Source organism: Homo sapiens, chromosome X, assembly GCF_000001405.40.
Source record: "Homo sapiens chromosome X, GRCh38.p14 Primary Assembly".
Lineage (NCBI taxonomy): Eukaryota > Metazoa > Chordata > Mammalia > Primates > Hominidae > Homo > Homo sapiens.
The window spans coordinates 7,694,090-7,722,069 of record NC_000023.11 but is presented as its reverse complement, the minus strand read 5'-3'; the positions used below and the strand labels follow the sequence as shown (position 1 = coordinate 7,722,069).

The 27,980-nt window shown below is 39.6% G+C and overlaps 2 annotated features.

Annotated features, from left to right (window-relative positions):
- Positions 6,590-7,316: an enhancer, noted in NCBI's record as "OCT4-NANOG-H3K27ac hESC enhancer chrX:7682795-7683521 (GRCh37/hg19 assembly coordinates)". NCBI's record gives its function as "activates a minimal SCP1, AML or CMV promoter by ChIP-STARR-seq in naive H9 embryonic stem cells {active_cell/tissue: H9 hESC(naive)}" and the evidence as "EXISTENCE:reporter gene assay evidence [ECO:0000049][PMID:30033119]".
- Positions 7,317-8,043: an enhancer, noted in NCBI's record as "OCT4-NANOG-H3K27ac hESC enhancer chrX:7682068-7682794 (GRCh37/hg19 assembly coordinates)". NCBI's record gives its function as "activates a minimal SCP1, AML or CMV promoter by ChIP-STARR-seq in naive and primed H9 embryonic stem cells {active_cell/tissue: H9 hESC(naive and primed)}" and the evidence as "EXISTENCE:reporter gene assay evidence [ECO:0000049][PMID:30033119]".

The window sequence follows — 27,980 nt, the reverse complement described above, 5'->3', positions numbered from 1 at the left end:
GTGTGGAAATTGTGAGACTCAAGCTCATTCCAGTAGACTTGGTGGACAACAAAAAGGCATTGCTGATTCTCCCCTTTGAGAACTTATATGCAAGAATATTGGCTCGACCTGACACTTGCTCATGTTCATTATGCATGTTTCCATATCTGGAGGCATCCCTGATAGGAGTCCATAGACAAGCTTACTAGTACCCAGTGCAGTCTATAGACTGGCCTACCCATACCTAGTGTAGTCTATAGACTAGCTTACCCTATCTCTACACAGTGGAGTCTATAGACCTGCTTACTAGCACCCAATTTAGTATGTAGACTAGATTATCCATATCCTCTGTAGTCTATAGACTGACTTACCCAAAACAAATATAGCCTATAGACTAGATTACCCATATCCACTGTAGTCTATAGACTAGTTTACCCATATAAAGTATAACGTATATAATAGACTGCCTATATCCAGTTTAGTCTATAGACTAGCTTACCCAAACCCAGTGTAGTTTATAGACCAGCTTACCCATACTCAGTGTAGTCTATAGACTAGCTTACCCATACCCAGCATAGCCAATAGGCTAGCTTTTCCATACCCAAAGTAGTCTATAGACTAGCTTACCCATACTCAGTGTAGTCTATAGACTAGTTTACTCATACCCAGTATACCCTATAGACTAGCTTACCCACACCCAGTGCTGTCTGTAGAGTAGCTTACCCATCACCAGTGTAACCTATAGTCTAGATTACACATATCCAGTGTATTGTATAGTGTAGCTTACTCATACATAGTGTAGCCTATAGACTAGCTTACCCATACCCAGTGTGGTCTGTAGACCAGCTTACCTATAACAAAAAAAAAATCCAAAAATTTGTTTATCAAATTGTAATTTCTCTAGGGCATGTAATTATTTAAAGAAAATCATTCTATACAATAAATAATTTTACTAAAGGAAGATTAAAATGACACACATCTGTAACCCTAAGCCTCTGTGTTTTAAATGTTATTTGGGAACTTCTTGGTTTCCAGTGCTCATCTAAACACAGGCCTATCTTGCTTTGTTGTGCCTCACAGAAATTGCATTTTTTTACTGAATTGAAGGTTTATGGCAACCCTGCATTGAGCAAAGCTATACATAATTTCTCCAACAGCATGTGCTCACTTTGTGTCCCTATGTCATATTTTGGTATTTCTCACAAAGTTTTTCATTATTATTGTATTTCTTATTATTGCTATACTTGTCTTGGTGATCTGTGATCAGTTATGTTTGTTATTACTATTGTAATTGTGTTGGGGTGCCACATATCACACCCTTATAAGATGGCAAACTTAATTGATAAATGTTGTGTGTGTTCTGACTGCTCCACCAACTGGCCATTCCCCATCTCTGTCTCTCTTTGAGCCTCCCTATTCCCTGAGACACAGCAATATTGAAATTAGGCCAATTAATCCCCTACAAAGGCCAAGTGCTCAAGTGAAAGGCAGAGTCTCTCCCTTTAAATCACAAGCAAGAAATGATCATGAAGAAGGCATGTCAAAAGCCAAGAGGGCAGAAGCTAGGCTTTTGCACAAAACAGTTAGCCAAGTGGTGAATGCAAAGGAAAAATTCTTGAAGGAAATTAAAAGTGCTACTTCAGTGAACACATGAATGCTAAGAAAGTGAAACAGCTTTATTGCTAATATGCAGAAAGTTCCAGTGGTCTGAATAAAGGATCAAACCAGCCACAATACTCTCTTAAGCTAAAGCCTAATCCAGAGCAAGGCCCTATCTCTTTTCAATTCTATGAAGGCTGAGAGAGGTGAGAAAGCTGCAGAAGAAAAGTTGGAAGCCAGTGTAGGTTGGTTCATGAAGATTAAGAAAAGAAGCCACCTCTATAACATAAGAGTGCAAAGTGAAGCAGCAAGTGCTGATCTAGAAGCTGCAGCAAGTTATCCAGAAGACCTAGCTAAGGTTATTAATGAAGGTGGCTACACTATACAACATATTTTCAATGTAAATCAAACTGCCTAATGTTGAAATAAGTTGCCATCTAAGACTTGCGTAGCTGAAGAGGAGAAGTCAATGTCTGGCTTCAAAGCTTCAAAGAACAAGATAACTTTTGTTAGAGGCTAATGCAGCTGGTGACTTTAAGTTGAAGCCAATGCTCATTTAGCATTCCAAAAATCCTAGGGCCCTTAAGAATGATACTAAATCTTCTCTGCCTGTGCTCTAGAAATGGAACAACAAAGCCTGGATAACAGCACATCTATTTAAGGCATGGTTTACTGAATATTTTGAGGCCACTATTGATACCTACTGCTCAGGAAAAGGATTCTTTTCAACATTTACTGTTCATTGACAATTAATCTGGTCACCCAAGAGCTCTCATGGAGATGTATAAAGAGATTAGTGTTCTTTTTGTGCTTCTTAGCGCAAGATTCATTCTGCAGCCCCTGGATCAAGGAGTCATTTTGACGTTCAAGTCTTATTATTTAAGAGATACATTTCATAATTTACAGTTGCCATAAATAGTGATTCCTCTGATGGATCTGGGCAAAGTTAATTGAAAACCTTTTGGAAAGGATTTACCATTCCAGACGCCATTAAGAACATTTATGATTTGTGGGAGGAGGTTAAAATATCAACATTAATAGGAGCTTGGGAGATGTTGATTCCAAGCCTCATGGATGACTTTGAGGGGTTCAAGACTTCAGCGGAGGAAGTAACTGCAGATGTGGGAGAAATAGTAAGAGTAGTAGAAGGAGAGGCGGAGCCTGAAGATGTGGCTGAATGGCTACAACCTCATGACTAAACTTGAATGGATGAGGAGTTGCTTTTTGTGAATGAGCAAAGAAAATTATTTCTTGAGAAGGAATATACTGGTGAAGATTATAACATAATATAATATATAATATACTGGTGAACACTGTTGAAATAACAAAAAAATCTAGAATATTGCATAAACTTAATTGATAAAGAAGTGGCAGGGTTTTAGAGGATTGACTCCAATTTTAAAAGAAGTTCTACTTGTGGGTAAAATGCTACAAACAGCCTCTCATGCTACAGAGAAATCTTTTATGAAAGGAAGTGTCAACCAATGCAGCAAATTTCATTGTTGTCTTATTTTAGGAAATTGCCACAGCTATCCCCACCTCCAGCAACCACCATCCTAGTCAATCTGCAACCATCAACACTAAGGCAAGACCCTTCACCAGCAAAAAGATTACAAATCATTGATGGCTCAGATGATTGTTAACATTTTTTAGTAATAAAGTATTTCAATTTAGGTATGTGTATATTTTTTTAGACACAATGGTATTACGTACTTAACGGACTACAGTACAATGTGAACATAACTGTTATACTCACTGGGAAATAAAAAAAAATTGTGTGACTTGCTTTTATTGTGATATTTTCTTTATTGTGGTGGTCTGGAACGGAACCCACAATATCTCTGGAGGATACCTGTAGAAGCCCCTTGGCTTCTCTTGTGAGACAGTTGACAGCTTTGCCAATGTCTACCTTTTCCAGTAGATAGTATAAGTTGGCAACATGTCTCCTTCCATTTACAAGGAGCTGTCAGGACTAGATGTATTCCTTAATATTAGTGATGGTTACACAGTGGTTTCTAATATAATTATACCCTGCTTTCTCTACATGGTTTCCAATGTTTTTTAATCTTTATTTAACCATAAGGCAATAATGAGTAATTTGCTTTCATTGTTTCCTTTTTATTTATTACACAACACATACTGAGCTTCACTATCAGAAATATGCTCATAGAGGTGACAATGAATTGAGCAACTGATGTATGACCTATGTCTGCTAAGGGTTTATTAATGTCTGGAAAAGCTCCCAATTAATAATAAAAATAAAAGTAGCAATAACAAAAATACTGATCATAGTATTTAATATTTCCTAGGTGGTATACAGTAGACACACAATTATGAAAAAAACTATAATATTCTAGGATAATTGTCTGAATATAAATAGAGATTGTATTAATGCTCTTTCTGAAAATAGTGCCATATGTAGAATTCTCCTATTTAGCATATATTTATGTTTTTCTTACCTCTGTCTCCTTGTGGCTTTTATCTATGAGATCTAGCTCTGTCCCCTGGAATGCAACAGGAGTTCTTTTACTGTCTTACGTGAATTTCAAATATTTCAACAGCAAGATGTGTCTTTTCTAGACTAATCATCTCCACCTGTTCCAATGCTTCCCAAACAACAGTTCCTAATCACCTCATCTTGTGGATTGGAGATCCATATTTCCTATTTAGTTGTGATTACTTTTACATTGCAGGGCAAAGAAAAGAACTGAAACCTGGACAAAGAGTCTGAGTAACATGAATAACTGTGAGCTTTCATATTTGTAAAGGACAGGTGCTTCATTGTTTATGACCTACGACGTACATGCTACCATGAGCACACCTACCATCTTCTTCCACACACTTTCTCAGAGCCCGGGTGCAGACTTTCATTCACATTAAAATTTTTCTTTTAGGTTGAGCCTGACACAGAAATGGAGGAGACAGCTGTAGAAACAATAACATTTGTAGATAGGGAGATGGTCAAATTCCTTTTTCATTCATGTGCCTGCACTTAACAGCCAGCATACTGTGAAAATAAAGCATGTTTCAGTGAAATACTGAAATGTAGGAGAAATCCTATTAAGCCACTGCTACCTATGCATAATTTTAATATGCTTTTATATATTTGTCTAGCAAGTCAGTCATCCACCTAGCTGAAGTCATAAAAAACGAAATTTAAATATATTGAGTGGACACTCGTTATGAAGTTTCACAATTGTGATATGTTGCTAGCAAAGCATTGGGGAGCCAATTAAGTGCTTAACTAATACATGGTGAAAATGAGGTATCGTCTAGTAACAAATGTGATGATTATGGCTTCTTTCGATGTTAACTTTGAAAGCTTGTGATTTGAGAATCTCCCCTCTGTATTTTTAATATCTGTTTGAAAATCAGAGCTAGGGCAATGGTATGAAGAAGAATTCCTCTGTCATCTGGCAGACTACCAGTCATGCATTTAGTGTAAGACTTATGGATCTGCCAGGCACTGATCCATTGCTCTGTTATGTTCTGTTGCATCTTTGGAAATTAACTCCACAGATAATCCAAAGGGAAATGCATGTCTTTGGCACATACATTGCAAGATTGTCTTTAGTCATTTCTTTGCCCCTGCAAGGCACATGAATGAAGATGATAAATAGGCATCTATTTTCTTAATAGGGCTTAGATCTTGGGCTGCAGGAATGGTTCACTTGCAATTTCCTTTACATACTTGAAGGTTTGTTTGGCCCTTACTGTCCTGGGCTGTTTATTGAGAGGCTAAGAACCACTTAAGCACATGTGCACACTGAGAGCTGGCTACTGGAAGGGTTGGCAGGGTGGAAATCAGACTAGAGATCCAGGAGCATCAGGCATGAATTGGGTTATATCAGCCCCCGACAAAACATTGTATTTATGGGGTCTTAAGAATTCACTTCAACTCAGGTCATCCTCTTCAAACCAGGGTGCCCTGAGTCAATCTTAAATCCTATAAGTGCAATTGTTCATGTGGGTTTTCAACAGCCTTCTCAGCTAGGAGCAGTGTGTATTTCATCAAACCTCCTGTTGGATCCATAACCTGTGATGGCTCTGGATATAATTTTGAGGAACCCAGTGTACTTTTACGTGCTTAATTAGAATGGGTATCAGACCATCCAATAAACTCCTACCACAATTATTCATGATTGAGCTCACATGAAGCATTCTGAGGTCATTTTTGAACACCCTAAAAAAGAAAAGATGTCGGAGTGTCCATAAACTAAAAACCAAAGCAAATTTTAGAGTTGTGCTTTAGAAAGTGTACTTTTCTTTCTTATTTCAACACATTGTGTTAGTTTCATTTCATCAGCATACTTTCAACCTACTAATACAGGGCTGTTTAATACAATCTTGTTTATGTCAGACAACTGTGCGCATTTTCCTCTCACCTTTCAGTAGAACAAGGATTCAAAAATGTCGAGGTCTATTATAGCAATTCTAAGGGTGCAAACAGTAAGTTTGGTATTTTATTGAAATGTTTTGTTTGGAATCTGAGAGTTCATTGTTCAAGATCCTCTGACACAGACAATGAAATAACACGTTTTCTTTGCAGAAAGAAAAGTAAAAATCTTGAGTTTCTATAAAATAATTTTCAACGTAGTTTATGGTTCTCCTTTAAATGTCAAGAAGAAGAAAGATTGGGAGAAAATACACTGAAACATTTATGCTCTGAAAAGAGAGATTTCCATTTTTTTTCTTGTTTTTACTTTTCTATATTGTCCGAATTTTCCCTAATGTGCAATTATTTTTATCATTGGAATTGGAATGAAAAGGATACAAAAGTTGGTGGTTTAATAGTTCCCAAAGTCTTTACGTGACTACAGAAATCATTAATGATTTTGGAAGCATCAGCAATTTTTGTTTGTACCATCCATTATAATTTGTATGATTAATCAACATAGTTAAAAACTGCCCTGGGTGATCTTTGTTCCACAGATGTGTTTACATCCTGTTTCAAATGAGAGACCTCAATCCTTGCTGTGCTTCGTCTGATTCCCTGGGCATGGGTCCCTCAGGATGAAATAATAAAAATAATCTGCCCCATTTTCAAAAAGAGGTAACTCTCTGTGTCACAAATATGGCAATTCATTACTTTTCTGCATCGCTCATCAAAATTCTAAGTTAATTTTCTTCTCAATAAACTGCTTCTCCCAAATTTTCAGGTTTCTATGAGGAGTAAGCAGTCTTAATAATAATAACTATAATTTATTGAACAGTTAAATATCTGCCAGGTGCTCTGCTAAGCATTCTGAATATACCATTGAATTTAATAATTCTCCGAGCAACACTCTCATGGAAGTAATATTAATAGCTCCATTTTTTATGAGAAAGCTGATGCTTATAGAATTTAAGGATCTTCTACAACCATCTAAAACTGATAAGTAATTGTGCTAGGATTTCACTGGGGGGCTCCTTGGCTCCCAAGTTAGGCATGCCATGTTGCCATTTAATTTTACAGGCAATGTCCCCACCCACTTTGAGTTGTCTCGCCTTTATGTATTTCTTAAACGTACTTGATTGATGTCTCATGCCTCCCTAAAATGTATAAAACCAAGTTGCGCCCCCATCGCCTTGGGCACATGTCCTCAGGACCTTCCGAGGGCTGTGTCATGGGCCATGGTCACTCATATTTGGCTCAGAATAAATCTCTTCAAATATTTTACAGAGTTTGACTCTTTTTGTCGACACTCAGAACATAGCCCTGTTGTTAATCAATGTGTTATTGTAATTGTCAACCAGAAAAGCAGGGAGCTTCCAGGCTGTAAGTAAATTTAAACATTTTCTGGTTGACAATTGGTTGAGTTTGTCTAAAGACCTGGGATTGATAGAAAGGAAATGTTCAGGTTAAGATAAAAGATCGTGGAGACCAAGGTTCTTTTGAAGTCTTATAGTGGCAGCCTTTAGAGACAATAGACGACAAATGTTTCCTATTCAGACCTTTAAAAGGTGCCAGACTCTTAGTAAATCTCTTCAGAATTGGGAGTGCCTGGAAGAAAAGATCTAGCTATGTTAATAGACATTCTTTACAGATGCAAATTTTCCCCCACAAAGGACAAATTTGCAGGGCCATTTCAAGATATAGCAAAGAAACATGCTTGGGGGTAAAATATTTTAACTTTCTTCTTTGTCACATAATGTTATGACAGAGTCTTATTGGAACGTAGGTCACAATATATAGGGTAAAATAAAACCCATCTGATGAGAATTTATATTTTGTAAAGCATGACTACCCAGACTCCTTAGATGGGAATTTGGGCAAGATAAAATATCAGAGCTTAATCCTCATGAGAAATGTGTCATTAAATGATTTTGTTACTGTGTGAATATCAGTAAGTGTACTTACACAAACCTAGATGGTATAGCCTGCTACACACCTAGGCTATACATCATAGCCTCTTGCTCCTGGGCTTCAAACCTGGACAGCATGTTACTGCACTCACTACTGTAGGGTATTATAACACAATGGTAAGTGTTTGTGTCTCTGAACATAGCTAAACATAGAAAAGGTACAGTAAAAATATGGCATTATAATCTTATGAGACCAGCAGCATATATGTGATCTGTTGTTGACCAAAACATTGTTAGGTGGTACATAATTATACACATAATACCTAATCTAATGTAAATGCTACATAAATAGTTGTTACTATTTACAAGAAAAATAGGTGTTTATCGTTCACTACAGATGTACTTGATTTTTCCAAATATTTGGATCCAATATTGGTTGAATCCACAGATGTAGAACGTGTGGCTGACTGCATATATGAGGATGTATTTAGGTTAAATGCAAATACTATGATGTTTTATATAAAGGCCTTGAGTATTCTCAAGTTTTGGAATCCATGGGGGTCCTGAAACCAATCCCCTCTAGATACTGAGGGACAACTATTCTCAATCAAACAAGGGTATGCTTAAGAAAAGATTGGTTATCTAGAGCTACAATAATGCAGCATAACAAACACTCTTTACCTTACCTTGATGGCTTGAAATAAAATGCAGTTGTCTAACTCGTGAGATGGATTATGGGTTGCATATTTAGGTTGTGTTCAGCTAGATGGTATTTTGGTTCCCTGTTGACTTCACTCCTATGGCTATCAGCTGAGATAATTGCACCATAGGTCTCTAGCTTCCAGCAAGCTAGCTCAGGCATGATCTAAAGATGGGGGCCAACAGCAGGAGCACAAGAGAAAGCACAAGCACTTTCAAAATCTCTGCCACTGTTGACACCCATTGGCTAAACCAAGTAATGAGGTGAACTCAAAATTTAGGGGTGAACTATCCCCTGCCTTCTGTTGAGAGAAGCTGTAATGTGGTCACATTGTGAAGGGCCTGGTTTCAGGAAAGGCTGAGAAATCAGGGCACTAATGCAATCTCCCTTCCTCCAGGAACACGGGAATTTCATGTCAAATCATCATTAGCAAAAGCAGGTCTGTGACAGCTATTTACACACTACAAGCTTTGTTTAGAGTAGATGCTTTTTGCTGTTTAATTCAACATGAGTGCATGCTACTCGAGGTGCAGTTCACATCTAATTCATCTTGGCAGGTCCTTAGGGAGGCCATGATGTTCAAAACTGGAACTGCCCAAACACTATGCAGTTATTCTTTCATATTTAAAATGATCAACGGGTAACCCACACACAATATTGTCTGAGCCAAAATAGTATCTTCTTGCCCTAAGTCACAGAAATAAAAAGTCTCAAATGAATAATTGCTTACAGCATTGAACATTTAACGTTTCATGAAATAAATATTGATAAAAAGTATGTCTGTGCATGTGTGTGTGTACAAAGTCAGGAATGACTTTCTATCTTAACACGTGTAAATCAGGATTCTTCTTTCAATTGCAGAACACCAACACCATCACCATTAGAATAACTCTATTAAAGGTATTTATGGACAAACTGTGCAATACTGAATTTATTACCACAAACTCCAACAAAAGCACCATGGGAATAATGGATATATAGGAAAAAATAGTGCAAGTGGCATAGTAATCATACAAACTGTTTACGTTTTCTGAGCTTGGTTCCCTTATCAAAATATTTCCCCAGAAATACTCACCCATTTCACATTAGACTGGCTTTCTGTAACTCCAGCTTTCTCTGACTACTTCTTTTCAGGGTCTTTCTCTGTTGCCCAGGCTGGAGTGCAGTGGTTCTATCATAGCTCACTACATTTTCAAACTCCTGCGCTCAAACAATCCTCCCACTCCCGACTCCCAAAGTGCCGAGATTATAAACCTGAGCTATCATGCCCAGCCAAAATCAGACATAAAAAATAACTTTTGCATTTTCTTTAATACAGCTGCTATATGAACTTTTTATGAGACAAATCCCTCTTAAAAACTGGCTCTAGGAGACAATCTGTTTGTCCAATAAACTTTTTTGCTTTTATCACATATAAAAAATTATAATTTTGGCTTTTTTTTTTGTCTAAAAAGAACAAGGTATATATTGGCACATAATTGCAGTTTCTACATTAGCTTAGGTTTGTATTAGGTTTGTATTATCTTTTATCAGCCTTTGCACTGATATATTTTGTAATTAAGTCAAAATATAGTGGCTGATATGGTTTGGTTGTGTCTCCACCCAAATCCCATCTTGAATTGTAGTTCCCATAATCCCCACATGTCATGGGAGGGACCCTGTGGGAGGTAATTGAATCACTGGGGTGGTGTCCCCCATGCTATTCTTGTAATAGTGAGTAAGTTCTCATGAGATCTGATGGTTTTATAAGGGGCTTCACTGTTGGCTCAGCTCTCATTCTTCTCCTTGTTGCTGCCATGTGAAGAAGGACATGTTTGCTTCCCTTCGGCCATGATTGTAAGTTTCCTGAGGCCTCTGCAGTCATGCTGAACTGTGAGTCAATTAAACCTCTTTTATAAATTACCAAGTCTTAGGTATATTTTTATTAGCAGTGTGAAAACAGACTAATACAGTGGCTTACACAACAGTTGTTTATTTAATGCATGATACTACAGTTTGCTAATTTCAGCAGAGCTCAGCTAGGATAGCTCATCTCTATTGCTTGTGCTATCTCTGGGTTCAGTCATGTGGATGGGGCCTCACCTAGGAAAGCTGGGACAGCTAAGATGGCTGTACCTCTGTTCCATGTGGTTTCACTTTCTCCAGGAGGCTAGCCCAGGCATGTTCACATACCACTGTTTAAACAGAGGAAGTGGAAGCTACAGGGCTTCTTGAAGTCCAGATTTGGCACTTTAACACTATTACTTTGTTGTATTTTATTGGTGAAATCAAATGTGGAGGCCAGCTCCAATTTAAAGGGTAGGAAAATAGATTTCCTTTCTTGGAGAGAGGAACTGAAAAGAATTTGTGACCACCTTAATCTTCCACAGCTACAGATAAAGTGAAGTCTAGGTGATTCATCACTGCATGAAATTATCGGCACAAAAAAAATGATTTTGGTTGTTTTAATGGAAAGCTCAATTTCCACTTAGGGAAATAAAAATCCAAATACAGTCAGTGGCAATTCAAATATAAATAAAAGTAATTAATGTATATTTTAAATGGATATAAGATGCATCAATTAAGGAAACAGCAGAGATTTCATAGTGCAAATGAATTATACAGTGAAACAATTTAATTGCAATGTATTGACACGTCTTATGATATCCTTTCAAAATGCTTCAAAGAGTGAATTGAATTACAGCCTTCCTGTAATTTAAAACAAGTTTATAACTTGTTTTCCCTTATATACTTTATCTTTTGCATTAATGCTAGACAGATTTTTAAATAAATATGGAGAGATGTGTGTATATGTGTGTGTGTATCCCCAAGTCATTTATAAAATGTAACATAGCAGTACCTAAGAAAACATTGCAAATTAAACAAATAACTGTCTCATAACCATCTTTCTTTTTTCAGCAGCTATCTGCCTAGGGAAAAAATACTCAAGTCTAGATATAAATGGAACAAAATTTAAAAGTAACAATTTTAGTCATTGGAATTCAAAGAGATAAAACTTATAAATGTATAGATTTGTTTCTTATTAAGTATGCATTTCCAGAATTTTTTGAATTTCCCTGGAGCATAAATAGTAATTTGTCTCCTTCCATAATTTCAGTTTTTCACAATCATCTAAAAGATAAACAAGATAGTTATCACAAAGGCAAAATCTGAAAGCTGATATTTCTCTCCCTCTCTCTTCACCCTAATCCCCATCCTGCACTCTTCTGGAGTTAATTGCAGCTTTCATTTAAAGCGATGCGTGTTCCTAGCGAGGGAAGGGCACAGGCATTTGAGCTCTTTGACAGCAAGGAAAACGAAAATGGCATTCTCGAACAGCCTTGATAGAAGATGAAGTTCAGCAGTGAGCATGCAGTGCAAGTACTTGGATGTCTCTGTTATACCCAAAAGACTGGAAGGGATTCTTCTGCAAGGCTAATTATAGGGCCACTGCCAGGAAGCAATCTCCGTAATCTCTGTATGATTTCCTGTCTCTCTTTCCAAGCGGCCACACCTAAGAATAGCTATTATGGAGTCAGCTTCCTCTGTCCTTCCACAGTAATGTGTTATTTTGCCATGAACTCAGGGCTGCCATTACTTTCATAAAAATTGTCCATCCAGTGTGACAGCAGAGAGTTAGGATGTGATCCCAGGATGAGTTTTGGGAGGATTTCCAGGGATCCACTCACAGCACACTCTTACTTTCATGTGACCGAGGGAAAAATATTTAGTGGGTAACTGCTCATCATGGAGTGAGGGGACCCTGTTTAGCAAAAACTCTCAAACCATGTTTTCCCTCTGCTCTCAAACTGCAACAATCAACAAAGAAGACTTCTGGGACAAAATGTGGGGGTTTTCCCCATGCATAGTGTATTAGTCTGTTCCCACACTGCTAATAAAGACATACCCGAGACTGGATAATTTGTAAAGGTTTAATGGACTCACAGTTCCACATGCCTGGGGAGGCCTCACAATCATGGTAGAAGGCAAAAGAGGAGAAAGGCACAGCTTACATGATGGCAGGCAAGAGAGAGTGTGCAGGGGAACTGCCCATTATAAAACCATCAGATCTAGTGAGACTTATTCACTATCACGAAAACAGCATGGGAAAGACCTGCCCCCATGATTCAATTACCTCGCACTGGGTCCCTCCCATGGCATGTGGGAATTATGGGAGCTATAATTCAAGATGAGATTTGGGTGGGGATGCAGCCAAACCATATCAAATACCAAGCAGTGAACACCAGCTGGGTATCCTCTAATTAAATTTGGACACTATCTTTCTGGATATAGTGTCAGATCCTACAGGGATCTACCCTGAGACACCAGTTGCAAGTCCAGGCCTCCTGAACTTTGGAATGACCAGCTTCAAGTTGGGGTTCCCACAGTCCCCTCTTTCGGTTCCATTAATTTGCTAGAGTGGCTCACAGAACTCATGAAAACATATTTATGGTTTATTATAAAGACTATTACAAAGGACACAAATGAAGAGGCATGTAAGGCAAGGTATGGGCAAAGGAGTGTGGAGCTTCCATGCCCTCCCTGGGAATCACCCTCCAGGGACCTCCACATTTTCAGCCACCCAGAAGTTCTCTGAACCCAGTCCTCCTGGCGTTCTATGAAGACTTCATTTTATAGACATGATTGACAACTGTGTACAAATGCAACTGGACCAAAAAAAACCATGATCTAAACCCAGCAAGGAGTCTATTCAGACTTTTCTTGGCCTCTCCGGGTAGCATTCCTCCCTCTAAAGTATGGGGCAGAACGCTGTCTAGAATGAGGGTCTTTTGATCCACAATCAGATTACAATCTTGCCATGGGCAGGTGAAAAGAAGAAGGGAGAAATTCAGTGAGAGAGAGAGGTTCTGTTTTCTGAGACCTAAAGTGCCCCAACATTCTAACAAAAGACTGCAATAAGGGTTATGGGAGATATGAGTTGGAAACCGTGGCCAAAAACCTATATGTGTGTGTGTGTGCATCTGTGTGTGTGTGTGTGTGTTTTGTCCAATCACATTTCTACTTGTTCTCAATCAGGCCTATGTAATGAAGCTTGCATAAAACACACACATATATGTGTATGTGTGTTTCTGTATGTGTGTGTATCATATATATGTGTATATTCAGAATATCACAGACCCCATGTGAGAATATTTATGAGTGGGCCAGGGTGGCAGGGGCTGGGCAGGGTACAGTTATGAAGCACATCTCAACCCAGCAGCAAAGGGCAGTAGCTATCCTAAGGATATCCTAGCATGACTGAAGATACCACTGCATCTAGTCCATTGCCACACAGATCCAAGTTTAATGATGTATAGGAAAAGGTGATCAGGTATCTGAACTCATCTGCATGAGGAATGCCACAGCTTCATGAATAGAATACCCCATGTGGTTGGGCTCCCAGAACCTCAAAACTGGTTCTCAGAGAGGTTCCACTCATCACTGAGCACCTTCCATGATGAAAATTCTGGTATGTGAAAACACACAGTGCTGTCTGTCTTGGAGAATGCTGGAAATTTTTGAGGCATGTATGCTCTTGTAATAAGCTAATTTTACAAGAAGTTTTCCAAATGTGAACCATAAACCAGAGAGGACCCTGAAATCAATAGAGTGGGTTGCAATGGGCCTTCTTCAAAATGAAGGGCCAGTGTGGCTTCCAGTGGCCTCTGGTTTGCAGGTACCTGTGCTAGCTCAGTGATTTCCACACTTTGTCTTGCAAAGAATCCTCAGGGATTGTAGGTGTGGGGAAAAGAAGGAGGAGGTGAGAGTCCAGAATCCAGACTCTTGTAATCCTCACCTTCCTGCTAGCCCCATAGGTTCAACAACAGCTCCCTGGTTTTGTCTATTTGGCACAGTGAACTATCAGCAGATCAGCTCATGTGTCGATGTGCCTCAGTATGTTGGGATTTCAACACAAAAATTTTTTATGTTAAAATGAGCTGCCTTGTAAGAAGTTGTATTAGTCGGCCAGGGATGCTGTAACAAAGTACAATAGGCTGCAGGGCTTCAACGACAGAGATTTAATTCTCTCACATTCTGAAGGTTGCAAGTCTGAGGTCAAGGTGTCTCAGCGCTGGTTCCTCCTGAAGCTTCCCTCCTTGGTGTAGATGCTGTCTTCCCTCTGTGTCCTCACATGGTTGTCCCTTTGTGTGTGTCTGTGTCCTGATCTCTTCTGAGAACACCCCAGTCGGATAGGACTAGGGTCCACCCATATGACCTCATTGTACCTTAATTACCTCTTTAGAGGTTCCATATCCAAATATAGCCACATTCTGAGGTCCTGAGGGTTAAGACTCAGCGTATGAATTTGGGAGGACACAATTCGGCCCATTATAGAAGGGGCTGAATATGTGTTCCCATAACAACATCTCCATGTAATTCCATAAACAGTCACCTTCAGTTGCTCGGACAGTCTCATTTGTCACCACACAAACCACCCCCGTGACAACCAAGGTAGGCTTATCGGGTCTAGTACTGGTTCTTTTGACGTCCGGATGGGGAGGAAGGAGAGGAGCACTCAGAAGCAGCTTTCTGGGGCTTCCATGGAGAAGTTGGAGTCCTCTGGTTCTCTTCTGGATGGGCTGTATGCATTGTTCTACTTCATGATCATGGAATTGCCTCAATAAGCCCCAGGACAAGGAGATCTCTACAAAACAACATCAGATCCTATTTTCTGATTTATCTTCAGCTGGTTGCAACACAGCACAAACTTTGAGGGGGCATGGTTTTTGTTCAATGCTGTGCCATAGTGACAAAGGCAGAGTTCCTCAGTGTCATCCACTGTTCTGGAATCTCTGAGCTTGGGACCCGCCACTTGGAGAATCCATCATCTCTCTTACTATGGACTAAATAATTCACTGAAGGGCCGACAGGGAGGGATTCAAACAGTTAAACCAAAATCCCTTTTTACATTTCACAGCAAGCTCAAGATCTAAAAATAACTTATCTGGGATTTGTAAAGTTGTTATTTCTGAGACCAAGTTCAGAAATTTGCATTTATTGTGAATTAAATCTCATCATTTAAATTTGTTTTTATTTTAATCTATTCATTAAAAAAATGCTAACCCACTTATAGCATTATCTGCAGTTGTTTATTTTCATTTGCCATCTGAAAAACATCTCTTCATTTTAGCCCCATTTCCACACAGATGAGATGGCAATAAAGACCCAGTCTATTACAGACATCATACACTACCTTTGGCATTAATTTTTTTTTAGAACCTTTGAAGGTTATTGAACTTGAAACAAATCTGTAGAATTACATGGCTTTTCAGCTCACATTTTCTTTTGGCTTGTCCACAAGGAGGCAGCAAGATATTATGGAAATGATGATGGTTCCCAAATTTGGAGCTGAGAGACTTTATTCCAGAGAGTTAGCCTCTTGGACCCTCAGTCTTCTTATCTGTGCCATGGAAGCACTGATAACTAATAGCAAACAGCTATTGAGAACTTACTATATGCAAAGCACTATATTAAAATTTTTACCTGCATTTAATTTTCACAATATTTAATTTTTACACATTATATAAAACAGGTCTTATAATTATCACTATCTTACCAATAAGGAAACTGAGACTTAAAGAGGTTAGTTCACACATCTGAGTTCTCATAGCTAGAAAGAGGGAAAGTTAAGAGTTGAATGTAAATCTGCCTGACTTCTAAATTCTGATTTGTAGGATCATGAGAGAATTCCAGTTGGCATTCATGAAGTTCTTGACATAGGAGAGGTGTCTGAAAGACGGCAAATTCTATCCTTAAAAATAAAAAGGTTTTGCCAATCATTTTTTTGAAATACAGATTTAACATGACTAAACACTTTAGTCAAGACTACCAGCCTTGCATCAAGAAAAGGAAGTGTGAAGAACCCTGCAAAATGTGTACTTAGAAAACCCATGCTGACTTTTGGCAAGTGCCTCTTAATTTTTGCTAAAGGCTTACAAAACATTTGCTTAAGTAACTGTGCTAGAATTGGGCCCAGGATTTGACATCTCTATCACCAGAGTACTATTTTTTATATTGCAGGGAATTCCATTTAAAAACTACAGCAGGAACAAGCATTCTATAAATTCTACAGTGTGGACATTCTATAGGAGAAATCACTTGGTTTCCCCAATATCTTAGTAACATGGGGAAAAGGAAAGCAAAAAAGAGAGGATGAAAGTTAAAAAACAAAAAGATTCAACTATGTCAGACTCTATTCTCTCAGCTTAGGAGAGTGGTAATGTGAAGAAAGACCCGTGACCTACAGATTTCTTTTATTTCTCACCAAAATCTTTCATCTTATAGAAAATCAGAATTTCATCTTGAAACCTTTCCAACACTTTTTAGCCATCCACTTTCCACCACCTTGAGCCATCCACCTTAAGCTAAATGATAAATACATTGCTTTTAAACTTAAACATTTTTTAAAATAACATAACTTGAAACTGGTCATAAAGTGACATCAGAAAAGCCCTAATTAATGACGTCCTACAAAAGAGTTGGGTAGTGCTCATGCCATAACAAGACTCAAGAACTGCCCTGGATTAAAAGAGATTCAATAAACAGGACAACTGAAGCATGCTTTTGGACAGTCTCACAATTGGTAGCATCTGAATCGGTCCCTAGATTACATCCTAGCATTGTATCAATGAAGTTCCTGATTTTGATCATTGCACTGTGGTTATGTAAGAGACTGCCTTGTTTTAGGGTATTCTTCCTGTGGCTTTTATCTGTACAAGTTTTGAATTTGTTGCGGGAAGGTATTTGAATATTTCTGTAGAGTTTAAGTGTCTATGTTATGCTTGAAAAATATATCCCTTCCAACCTCATTGTCTTGCATACTTATCCAATGTTCTCTGTTCTGAATTTACATTTACATTCATTGACTTTCATTCAACTAAATCTTTTTTGGAATAAAAAGCAATTTCACCTCCCATTATGGAAGCCTTTTTTATTTTAAAGACAACCTAGTAACCATATAGAGCACAGGGACACAGAAATAGTGAGAATTAAGAACTGCCATTTTTCAGAAGTGGCCAAGACCACCCTGTCTGACATGGCCACACAGAGAAGTTTGCCAGAATGAGCTTCCAGTGTTTCTCAAACTGTGGTTTCCAGACCATGCACATTAGCATTCCCCGGGTGCTGACTGAACAGGCGGATCCCGAGGACCCACTCCAGACATACTGAGTCAGAATCTCTAGGGATTTAGCTGGGGAATTCACATTTTAAATACACTGCCCAGGTGCTTCTTGTCATTCAGTAATGAACAAATATTGATTAGTATCCTCTGTGTGCCAGATGCCATTGGAGGTTGTGAAGATAAAAGTGTACGAAACATCAAACAGAATGCAAAATGGCATAGTCACTTTGGAAGTTTAGCATTTCCTTATGAAAGTAAACCATACAATCCAGCAAACATATTTGTTGGTATTTACCCAAATGAGTAGAAAACTTACACCCACATAAAAACCTGTGGGCTACCCTCTTTAGGTCCCCTCCCTTTGTGTGGGAGCTCTGTTTTCACTCTATTAAATCTTGCAACTGTACTCTCTTCTGGTCTGTGTTTGCTATGGCTCAAGCTGAGCTTTCGCTCGCTGTCCACCACTGCTGTTTGCTGCCATCGCAGACCCACTGCTGACTTCCATCCCTCTGGATCCGGCAGGGTGTCTGCTGTGCTACTGATCCAGCAAGGCACCCATTGCTGCTCCCGATCATTCTAAAGGCTTGCCATTGTTCTTGCATGGCTAAGTGCCCAGGTTCGTCCTAATTGAGGTGAACACTAGTCACTGGGTTCCACAGTTGTCTTCCGTGACCCATGGCTTCTAATAGAGCTATAACACTCACCACATGGCCCAAGATTCCATTCCTTGGAATCTGTGAGGCCAAGAACCCCAGGTCAGAGAACACAAGGCTTGCCACCATCTTGGAAGCGGCCTTCCGCCATCTTGGATGCTGCCCGCCACCATCTTGGGATCTCTGGGAGCAAGGACCCCCCGGTGACATTTTGGTGACCACGAAGGGACCTCCAAAGCGGTGAGTAATATTGGACCACTTTCGCTTGCTATTCCGTCCTATCCTTCCTTAGAATTGCAGGAAAATACCAGGCACCTGTCGGCCAGTTAAAAACGATTAGCGTGGCCACTGGACTTAAGACTTAGATGTGAGGCTGTCCGGGGAAGGGCTTTCTAACAACCCCCAACCCTTGTGGGTTGGGAATGTTGGCCTGCCCAGAACCAGCTTCCACTTTCAATTTTCTCGGGGAAGCCGAGGGCCGACTACAGGCAGAAAGCTGTCATCCCAAACTCCCGGCATTAGCCGGTTGAGTTCATGGCGCAGCCAGAAGTCTCTATTCAATAGTCGCCCATGCGTGCGCCCCTACCTTTCCTTCTGACTCATACCTCTTGGATCCTGACCATGACTTTCTTGAAAGTGTCACCCCAAAATTCTCCTTACCTCTGAATCTACTTCCTCTGATCCCTGCCTCCTAGGTACTAATGGTTCAGACTTTCATTTCCTCTAGCAAGTTGTATCTCCAAAGGGATTTAAGAAAGCTCTACCCCGCGTCCTTAGGCATCTAGGCTATAAACCCAGGGAGTCTTGTCCCTGGTGTCCCTCCCAATTTAGGCATACAGCTCTCGACATTGGCAGTTATGTGGGACCCATTCCCCACCACATTTGCCAGGGCCCCACGTTAGTAATGGCTAAGAGAAGAGGGGAGAGAGACAGAGAGGAGAGAGACAGAGAGGAGAGAGAGAGAGACAGAGGAGAGAGAGACAGAGAGGAGAGAGAGAGAGAGACAAAGAGGAGAGAGCGAGAGACAGAGAGGAGATAGAGAGACAGAGAGGAGGTAGACAGAGAGGAGAGAGAGAGACAGAGAGGAGAGACAGGGAGACAGAGAGGAGAGACAGGGAGACAGAGAGGAGAGACAGGGAGACAGGGAGACAGAGAGGAGAGAGAGGGAGTCAAAGAGAGAAAGAAAGACAGAGAAATAGTAAAAAAACAGTGTGCCCTATTCCTTTAAAAGCCAGGGTAAATTTAAACCTATAATTGATAATTGAGGGTCTTCTCTGTGACCCTGTAACACTCCAATACTACCTTGTTGTCAGCGTAAACAAGGGCGTAGCCTGAAAACACGGAGACCACTGACAATCCGTAGCTTTCCTATCAAAAATCCTTAACCCAGTAACCAACAGATGCATTCAATCTGTAGCGGCAACTGCTTTGCTAATGGAAGAAAGTAGAAAAATAACTTTTAGAGGAAACCTCTTTGTGAGCACACCTCACCAGTTTAGAATTATTCTAAGTCAAAAAAGGTAGCTTACTAACTCAAAAATCTTAAAGTATGGGGCTATTCTTTTAGAAAAAGGTAATTTAACTCTAACCACTGATAATTCCCTTAACCCAGCAGATTTCCTTACAGGGGATTTAAATCTTAATTACCATATAAAGGTCTGACCAGACCTAGGAGGAACTCCCTTCAGGACAGGACAATAGATGTTTCCTCCCAGGTGATTGAGGAAAAAATCACAATGGGTATTCTTCAAAAGTCTGCCTTAGGCCCAGAGCAAAACTTAGAAACCCTATTGAACTTGGCAACCTCAGTTTTTTATAATAGAGATCAGCAGGAGCAGGCAGAATGGGATAAACGGGTTTAAAAAAAAGGGCCACCACTTTAGTCATGGACCTCAGGCAAGCGGACTTTGGAGGCTCTGGAAAAGGGAATAGCTGGGCAAATCGATTGCCTAATAGGGCTTGCTTCCAGTGCAGTCTAAAAGGACACTTTAAAAAAGATTCTCCAAGTGGAAATAAGCTGCCCCCTCGTCCATGCCCCTTATGTCAAGGGAATCACTGGAAGGCCAACTGCCTCAGGGGACGAAGGTCCTCTGAGTCAGAAGCCACTAACCAGATGATCCAGCAGCAGGACTGAGGGTGCCCAGGGCAAGCGCCAGCCCATGCCGTCACCCTCACAGAGCCCCAGGTATGCTTGACCATTGAGGGCCAGGAGGTTAACTGTCTCCTGGACACTGGCGCGGACTTCTCAGTCTTACTCTCCTGTCCCGGACAACTGTCCTCCAGATCTGTCACTATCCAAGGGGTCCTAGGGCAGCCAGTCACTAGATACTTCTCCCAGCCACTAAGTTGTGACTGGGGAACTTTACTCTTTTCACATGCTTTTCTAATTATGCCTGAAAGCCCCATTCCCTTGTTAGGGAGAGACATTCTAGTAAAAGCAGGAGTCATTATACACCTGAACATAGGAGAAGGAACACCCGTTTGTTGTCCCCTGCTTGAGGAAGGAATTAATCCTGAAGTCTAGGCAACAGAAGGACATATGGATGAGCAAAGAATGCCCGTCCTGTTCAAGTTAAACTAAAGGATTCTGCCTCCTTTCCCTACCAAAGGCAGTATCCCCTTTCACTCTCACTGCACCCCCTCCATGCTGCTGTACAACCAGTAGCTCCCCTTACCAAGAGTTTCCTGAAGAATGCGGCTTCCCGGAAATATTGATGTCCCATCGTATAGGAGTATATCTAAAGGAAATCCCACCTTCATGGCCCACACCCATATGCCCCACAAGAGTGGTTATAACTCTGCAACTCTTTGCATGCATGCAAATACTCATTATTGGACAGGGAAAATGATTAATCCTAGTTGTCCTGGAGGACTTGGAGCCAGTCTGTTGGACTTACTTCACCCATAATGGTATGTCTGATGGGGGTGGAGTTCAAGATCAGGCAAGAGAAAAACACATAAAGGAAATAATCTCCCAACTGACCTGGGTACAAAGTACCCCCAGCCCCTACAAAGGACTAGATCTCTCAAAACTACATGAAACCCTCCATACCCATAATCGGCTGGTAAGCTTATTTAATACTACCCTCACTAGGCTCCATAAGGTTTCGGCCCAAAACCCTACTAACTGTTGGATGTGCCTCCCACTGCACTTCAGGCCATACATTCAATCCCTGTACCTGAACAATGGAACAACTCCAGCACAAAAATAAACACCACTTCCGTTTTAGTAGGACCTCTTGTTTCCAATCTGGAGATAACCCATACCTCAAACCTTACCTGTGTACAATTTAACAATACTATAGACACAACCAACTCCCAATGTATCAGGTGGGTAACTCCTCCCACACAAATAGTCTGCCTACCCTCAGGAATATTTTTTTGTCTGTGGTACCTCAGACTATCGTTGTTTGAATGGCCATTCAGAATCTATGTGCGTCCTCTCATTCTTACTGTCCCTATGACCATTTACACTGAACAAGATTTACACAATTATGTCACACCTAAGCCCGGCAACAAAAGAGTACCCATTCTTCCTTTTGTTGTTGGAGCAGGAGTGCTAGGCAGACTAGGTACTGACATTGATGGCCTCACAACCTCTACTCAGTTCTACTACAAACTATCTCAAGAACTAAATGGTGACATGGAACAGGTCGCTGACTCCCTGGTCACCTTGCAAGATCAATTTAACTCCCTAGCAGCAGTGGTCCTTCAAAATCGAAGAGCTTTAGACTTGCTAACCTCCGAAAGAGGGGGAACCTGTTTATTTTTAGGGGAAGAATGCTGTTATTATGTTAATCAATCCGAAATCGTCACCGAGAAAGTTAAAGAAATTCGAGATCGAATACAACATAGAGCAGAGGAGCTTCAAAACACCGGACCCTGGGGCTTCCTCAGCCAATGGATGCCCTGGATTCTCCCTTCTTAGGACCTCTACCAGCTATAATATTGTTACTCCTCTTTGGACCCTGTATCTTTAACCTCCTTGTTAAGTTTGTCTCTTTCAGAATCAAAGCTGTAAAGCTACAAATGGTTCTTCAAATGGAGCCCCAGATGCAGTCCATGACTAAGATCTACCGCGGACCCCTGGACCAGTCTGCTAGCCCATGCTCCGATGTTAATGACATCGAAAGCATCCCTCCCGAGGAAATCTCAACTGCACAACCCCTACTATGCCCCAATTCGGCAGGAAGCAGTTAGAGCGGTAGTTGGCCAACCTCCCCAACAGCACTTGGGTTTTCCTGTTGAGAGGGGGATCTGAGAGACAGGACTAGCTGGATTTCCTAGGCCGACTAAGAATCCCTAAGTCTAGCTGGGAAGGTGACTGCATTCATATTTAAACATGGGGCTTGTAACTTAGCTCACACCCGACCAGTCAGGTAGTAAAGAGAGCTCACTAAAATGCTAATTAGGCAAAAACAGGAGGTAAAGAAATAGCCAATCATCTATCGCCTGAGAGCACAGCGGGAGGGCCAATGATCGGGATATAAACCCAGGCATTCAAGCTGGCAACGGCAACCCTCTTTGGGTTCCCTCCCTTTGTATGGGAGCTCTGTTTTCACTCTATTAAATCTTGCAATTGAAAAAAAAAAACAAAAAAACCTGAACACAGATGTTTACTACCGCTTTATTCATAATCACCAAAACTTAAGGAACAATGAAGATATCATCCAGTAGGTGAATGAATACAATGGAATATCATTCAGTGCTCAAAATAAATGAGTTGTCAAGCCATGAAAAGACATGGAGGAACATTAAGCACATATTACTAAGTGAAAGAAGCCAGTCTGAATAGGCTACAGACTATGATTCCAGCTAGACCACATTCTGGAAAAGGCAAAACTATGGGGACAATAAAAAGATCAGTGCTTGCTAGGAGTTTGGGGAAAGAGAAGAGTGGATGAATAGGTGGAGCACAGAGGATGTTTAGGGCAGTCAAACTACTCTGTCTGACACTATAATGATGGCTACATGTCATTATACATTAGTCAAAACCCATAGAATGTACACCACTAAGAGTGAACGTTAATGTCAACTGTGGACTTTGAACAATAATTTTTCAAAATAATGCATTGCCGGCTACACTTACAAAATTAATAATAATAATAATTCAGCAACTATTTCTAGACTCATGTAGCTAGGAATAGGCACTAAACCTTAAGAGCAAATGTCCTAAGGGATATGTATGAGTTCAATTAGTCAGGATTTCGTAAATAGAATGATCTGAATCTGCAGGTCCAATATTTTCATTTAAATATATTTAAAATATTAATATATTATATTAATATTTTAACATACAATAAGTATATATTAAATAATTATATTATATAATTAATAAAATAAAATATAAATAATAAAATATTATACAATTAATAATTATATATATAGAGAGAGAGAGAGAGTATGCAGGCAATTACGTCTTTTGCCAGCATTCAGCACATGAAAAATTTTAGATGCCAACTTTAAAATAAGCAAAGAAGGACATTGTTTTTCAAAATGATTTTAGTGGGTACTAGAAGAGTTTTGAGAAGCAGTGTTTCATTCACCTTCATATTTAACATTTGAGTTTGATGACGTTTGCAGGGAGCTGGTCTACACAGTAGTGGGAGTGTATCCAGATATGAGAACAGGATGGGAACCAAGGAGCTGGCATGAACTGGGAGAAAATTAGAGTAAAATGGGAGCAAATCCTGGGAACCTATCTAGGAGAAATAACAGGTTACTCTCCCGTGTGTAACGAGGCCTATTTACATCATCACTTCAGAGAAGTAGGAAAGGAAAGAAAAGAGAATCTCAAGTCCAAATCTTTAAAGAATTTACAAGCAAGGAATGGGTTGGGGCAGAGAGAGGACTGTTTCATTTTACAATAAAACACGTTTTGGATTTTGACATCCAGATTCTCAGAGCCACAAACGCCACATTTTTACATTTCCACCACCAAAGTGCAGGTGTATGGCTCCATCTGGAGCACTTGGAACTGAAAATCAGTCTATGGAGATGAGACTGAACAGAAGAAAGCAGCAAGGCAGACTTAATTAGGGTTGGAAATGGGACTCAGGAAAATCCCCCAAATGAATGCACTGATGTAACAGAACCCTGGAGAAGCAAATTTGAGTGAGGTTGTGGGGAGGGGGTGTCCAGGGCTGGTGCTCAGGCATGCTGGGGAATCGTTTAGTTTTAAGAACAAAATATGAAATACAAAAAATGGAGTCATGGTAAAGATTGGGAGTGAAAAGCCTCCGAGCCTAAATTACAAGGGATTTGATGGCTGTGTTCGGCACTGAGAAATAAATAAGCTAGACGCAGAGACATGGGCAATAGGGGTGAAAAAGAAAATACATTACCAGTTCAAGGAAAAGAGAAGGGCGTGCAAGATACGTTATAAATCAAAATTGTCAGTGCTACAAGAGGAGGACTAGAAAAAATGAAGTATGAGGTGGGGAGAAAATGATCCAGGAAGTGGAGATTGAACGAAAAAGGGTGGCAGGAGATTGGAAACATAATAAACAGCTTCCGGAACAAGCAAGCCGCAAGAGGTCAGCAGAAACTGGTGTCCCCCTCAGGACGGTGGATAAAAGAATGGGTGGGTATTTCTGGGGCATGAAAAGACATGCCCTCAGCATTGTCTCTCACACACACAAACCCACACACACTGTCACTGAAGGAGCTCAGAAAAAGAAAACATTGCAGGATGTAAGCTGAGAGGTGAGAATGGATAAAATACCTGTAGGATGTCTTTTCATATGTACAAACATTGATTCAAAGTAGAATCCATTCGTAGAGTTTATCAAAATAAATGGAATTGGTCATTGCAAAAAAAAAATCTGAATGAGCTTTTCCTCTTAAAGTATATAAAAGATATGTAATACTTATGATACTTTTTGGGTAATTTAAACATATACCATCTGGCTTTATAAATTCTAATACTCTTCGATTACAATGTTCAAATATTCTTTATTGCAAGATAAAATTAAATTTATTTTTAAAGATCTGTGTCCTGGGCTGAAATTATTTAAGGTTAGCAATGTTGTTCTGTGAATCAAATAAAACTTTGAAGATGTTAAAAGACAAGAATGCTTACGCAGACCAGAGGGAATTAATGGAAGGGATCACTGTGTTATATCCAAGTAAACAGATCCCTCTCAAAGAAATAATCATGCCGAGAATTAAATCGTAAGTTATTTTTCAGCTGTTACATGCCTTCCAGGGTGCTATATGTAAGGTGGGGTAGAAATGGATGTTTTCTAACAAATTAAATATATGTTATGGCAGCAAACATTTTCTTGTACTATTACTTACATCATGGAAATCCTTATTTCAATATTGATGACTAAAATAAGGTTGCATTAATAATAATGATGGCAATAATAGCTTTAAGTCAGTTTTATCATTTGTTCATATTCACGTACAAGATAGATCAGAAGAAACTTTCCAGAAAGAAGAATAAAACGATAGAATAATCAATGGAAACTAACCCATAGAAACTTACTGACATACAAGTTAGAATTCACAGAAAAAGACATTAAACATAGTTATTATACATGTATTTCATATGCTCAAAAAGCAGAGACTTAGAAGATATAAAAGCAACCCCATAAAATTTACAGAGATGGAAATTGTAGTGTCTGAGATGAAAATACACTAGATAGAACTAATAGCCAATTAGAAACATAACAGAAGAAAAGTTCAGTGAGTTTGATAATATAGCAATAGGAACTATGCAAAATGAAACACATGGACAAAAACGGGATCTAATAAAGAAAAGAACATCAATGAGCCCTGAGACAACTCCAACTGATCAAATATATGTACAATTGCACTCACTATTTTTAAAATGTAGATTTTCAGTTAAGTCCCATTGTATTACCATCTTGATTCCAGACTATTTTTGGTTCTGAGTGTCCAGAGGGCAAACTTCCTAGATTTACACCAGAATCACAGAGCGGATCAGGTGATTCAGATATCTACCTACTTTATAGACAGACATTTGATCAACCTTACCATTAGTCCAACTAAGCACGCTTACTTAGAGAGTTATCTTTATGTCTAAATTTTGAGCCTTTGGAGGTTATCAAATGCTGCTTTAGGATGAGTTTCAGCTTCAGTCCATTCATGTGAGTTACAATATGCCCACATGCTTTCTAGCTTCCAAAAATATTAATATTCACCCTTCATCAGCTATTGACTTGTCTTTGTGTCTTAATCTCTATGGATCAATATCTTCTTTATCCCCATCTTATTACTGAAGTTTAAGATTGAAAAAATGAGTGGTTGGATCTACCATGAAGTTGCAGTGGTTGGATCCACCAGAAGTTGCAGAGATTATTTAAGTAGCCTTCAGGACAAAAATGTGGCTGTTAAACTTTATAACTACCTTCCTTTGTAAGAATGTTTTTATCACTCTTATAAATGAGTATCTTAAATGAGTATTGAATCTATGTCACAACCATCTGTTCTCATAATTCTATTGATTGCTATATTATGCTGTGGAATTTACTATTAAAAAGGAGCAGCCTGATTATTCTTCCCACTTTGTACAATCTTCATGTGATACTTTTATTCTGCTAGAGAAATTATAGGATTTCTTTTCTTTAATGTTGATTTTTAAAAAAATCACCAGGATACATGGATACTTTTAATTTTGCCTGGTTGACCATAAAATCTGAAATCCCTTTCTCAGAGGACTCTGGTTTATTACTGCTTCTGGTGACTTTCCTTTGCTCTCTTATAATCGTGTTGTGTTTCCAGTCTTCCCTCTACAACATGTCTTTTTGTTCATCCATTTATTCCCTTTATTTTTCAAAAAACTGAATTGTAGGGTAGTCTACATTTCATTTTCCAACTCACATTTCTCAGTCTCCAATCCACACTTTTCTGCTGTAATTGCAATTTTAAATATTCAGAAACCATTCCATTTAATCTCACATGTTCGTGATGTGTGGTTGCTCTTTTTCCATGACTACTCTTGTTTCATAATCTCTCAAATCCTATTGACAATACCCTTGAGGATACTTCTGATGGATCTTTAAATGCATCTGCACGGTCATGTCCTTTCATAGTTTAATGTTTTGTTTTGCCTTGTCTTTGAATGTTTTGGAAGTTGAAATGCATGGATGCAAAACTTATTTGGCTCCTGGGTTGAGAAACATAGGAAATGTATACAAGCAAACAAAAGAAACGTTAGGTTTCCTGCAACTTCACTTCTCCCTATAAATAATGCCATGGGCCCTGGGGAGTACAGAGAAGGAGGCTATCCACTTTAGGGCAGCTGTAGCCTCTTTGGTGAAGAAATGTTTGTTTATTTGTTTGTTTGGTGTGGCTGCTGGTAGTTGGATGGAAAATAGAGTGCCCTCAGTAATGAACACCACACCTTCTGAGGAGCCTGCACAACAGTGCCCCATTTCCAGGACTTTGGCAGCCTCCTGACATACACACCAGGTGTGCATGCACCTCAGGGCTAGGGTCACACTCTGAAGATGCTTGTCCCTTGCCCACTTCACAGAGGATGCCACACGAGCATTTTTTCTTCTCCGCCCGCATTGTCTACCCTCAGTCTCCTCTGGATTCCAGACTTCATATCTTGGACTAGGCTTCATAAGGGGTATGTCTAGGGTGAGTTTCTTTTTTAAGTGTGAACTGTAGTTTAAATGTCCCTTTCCCT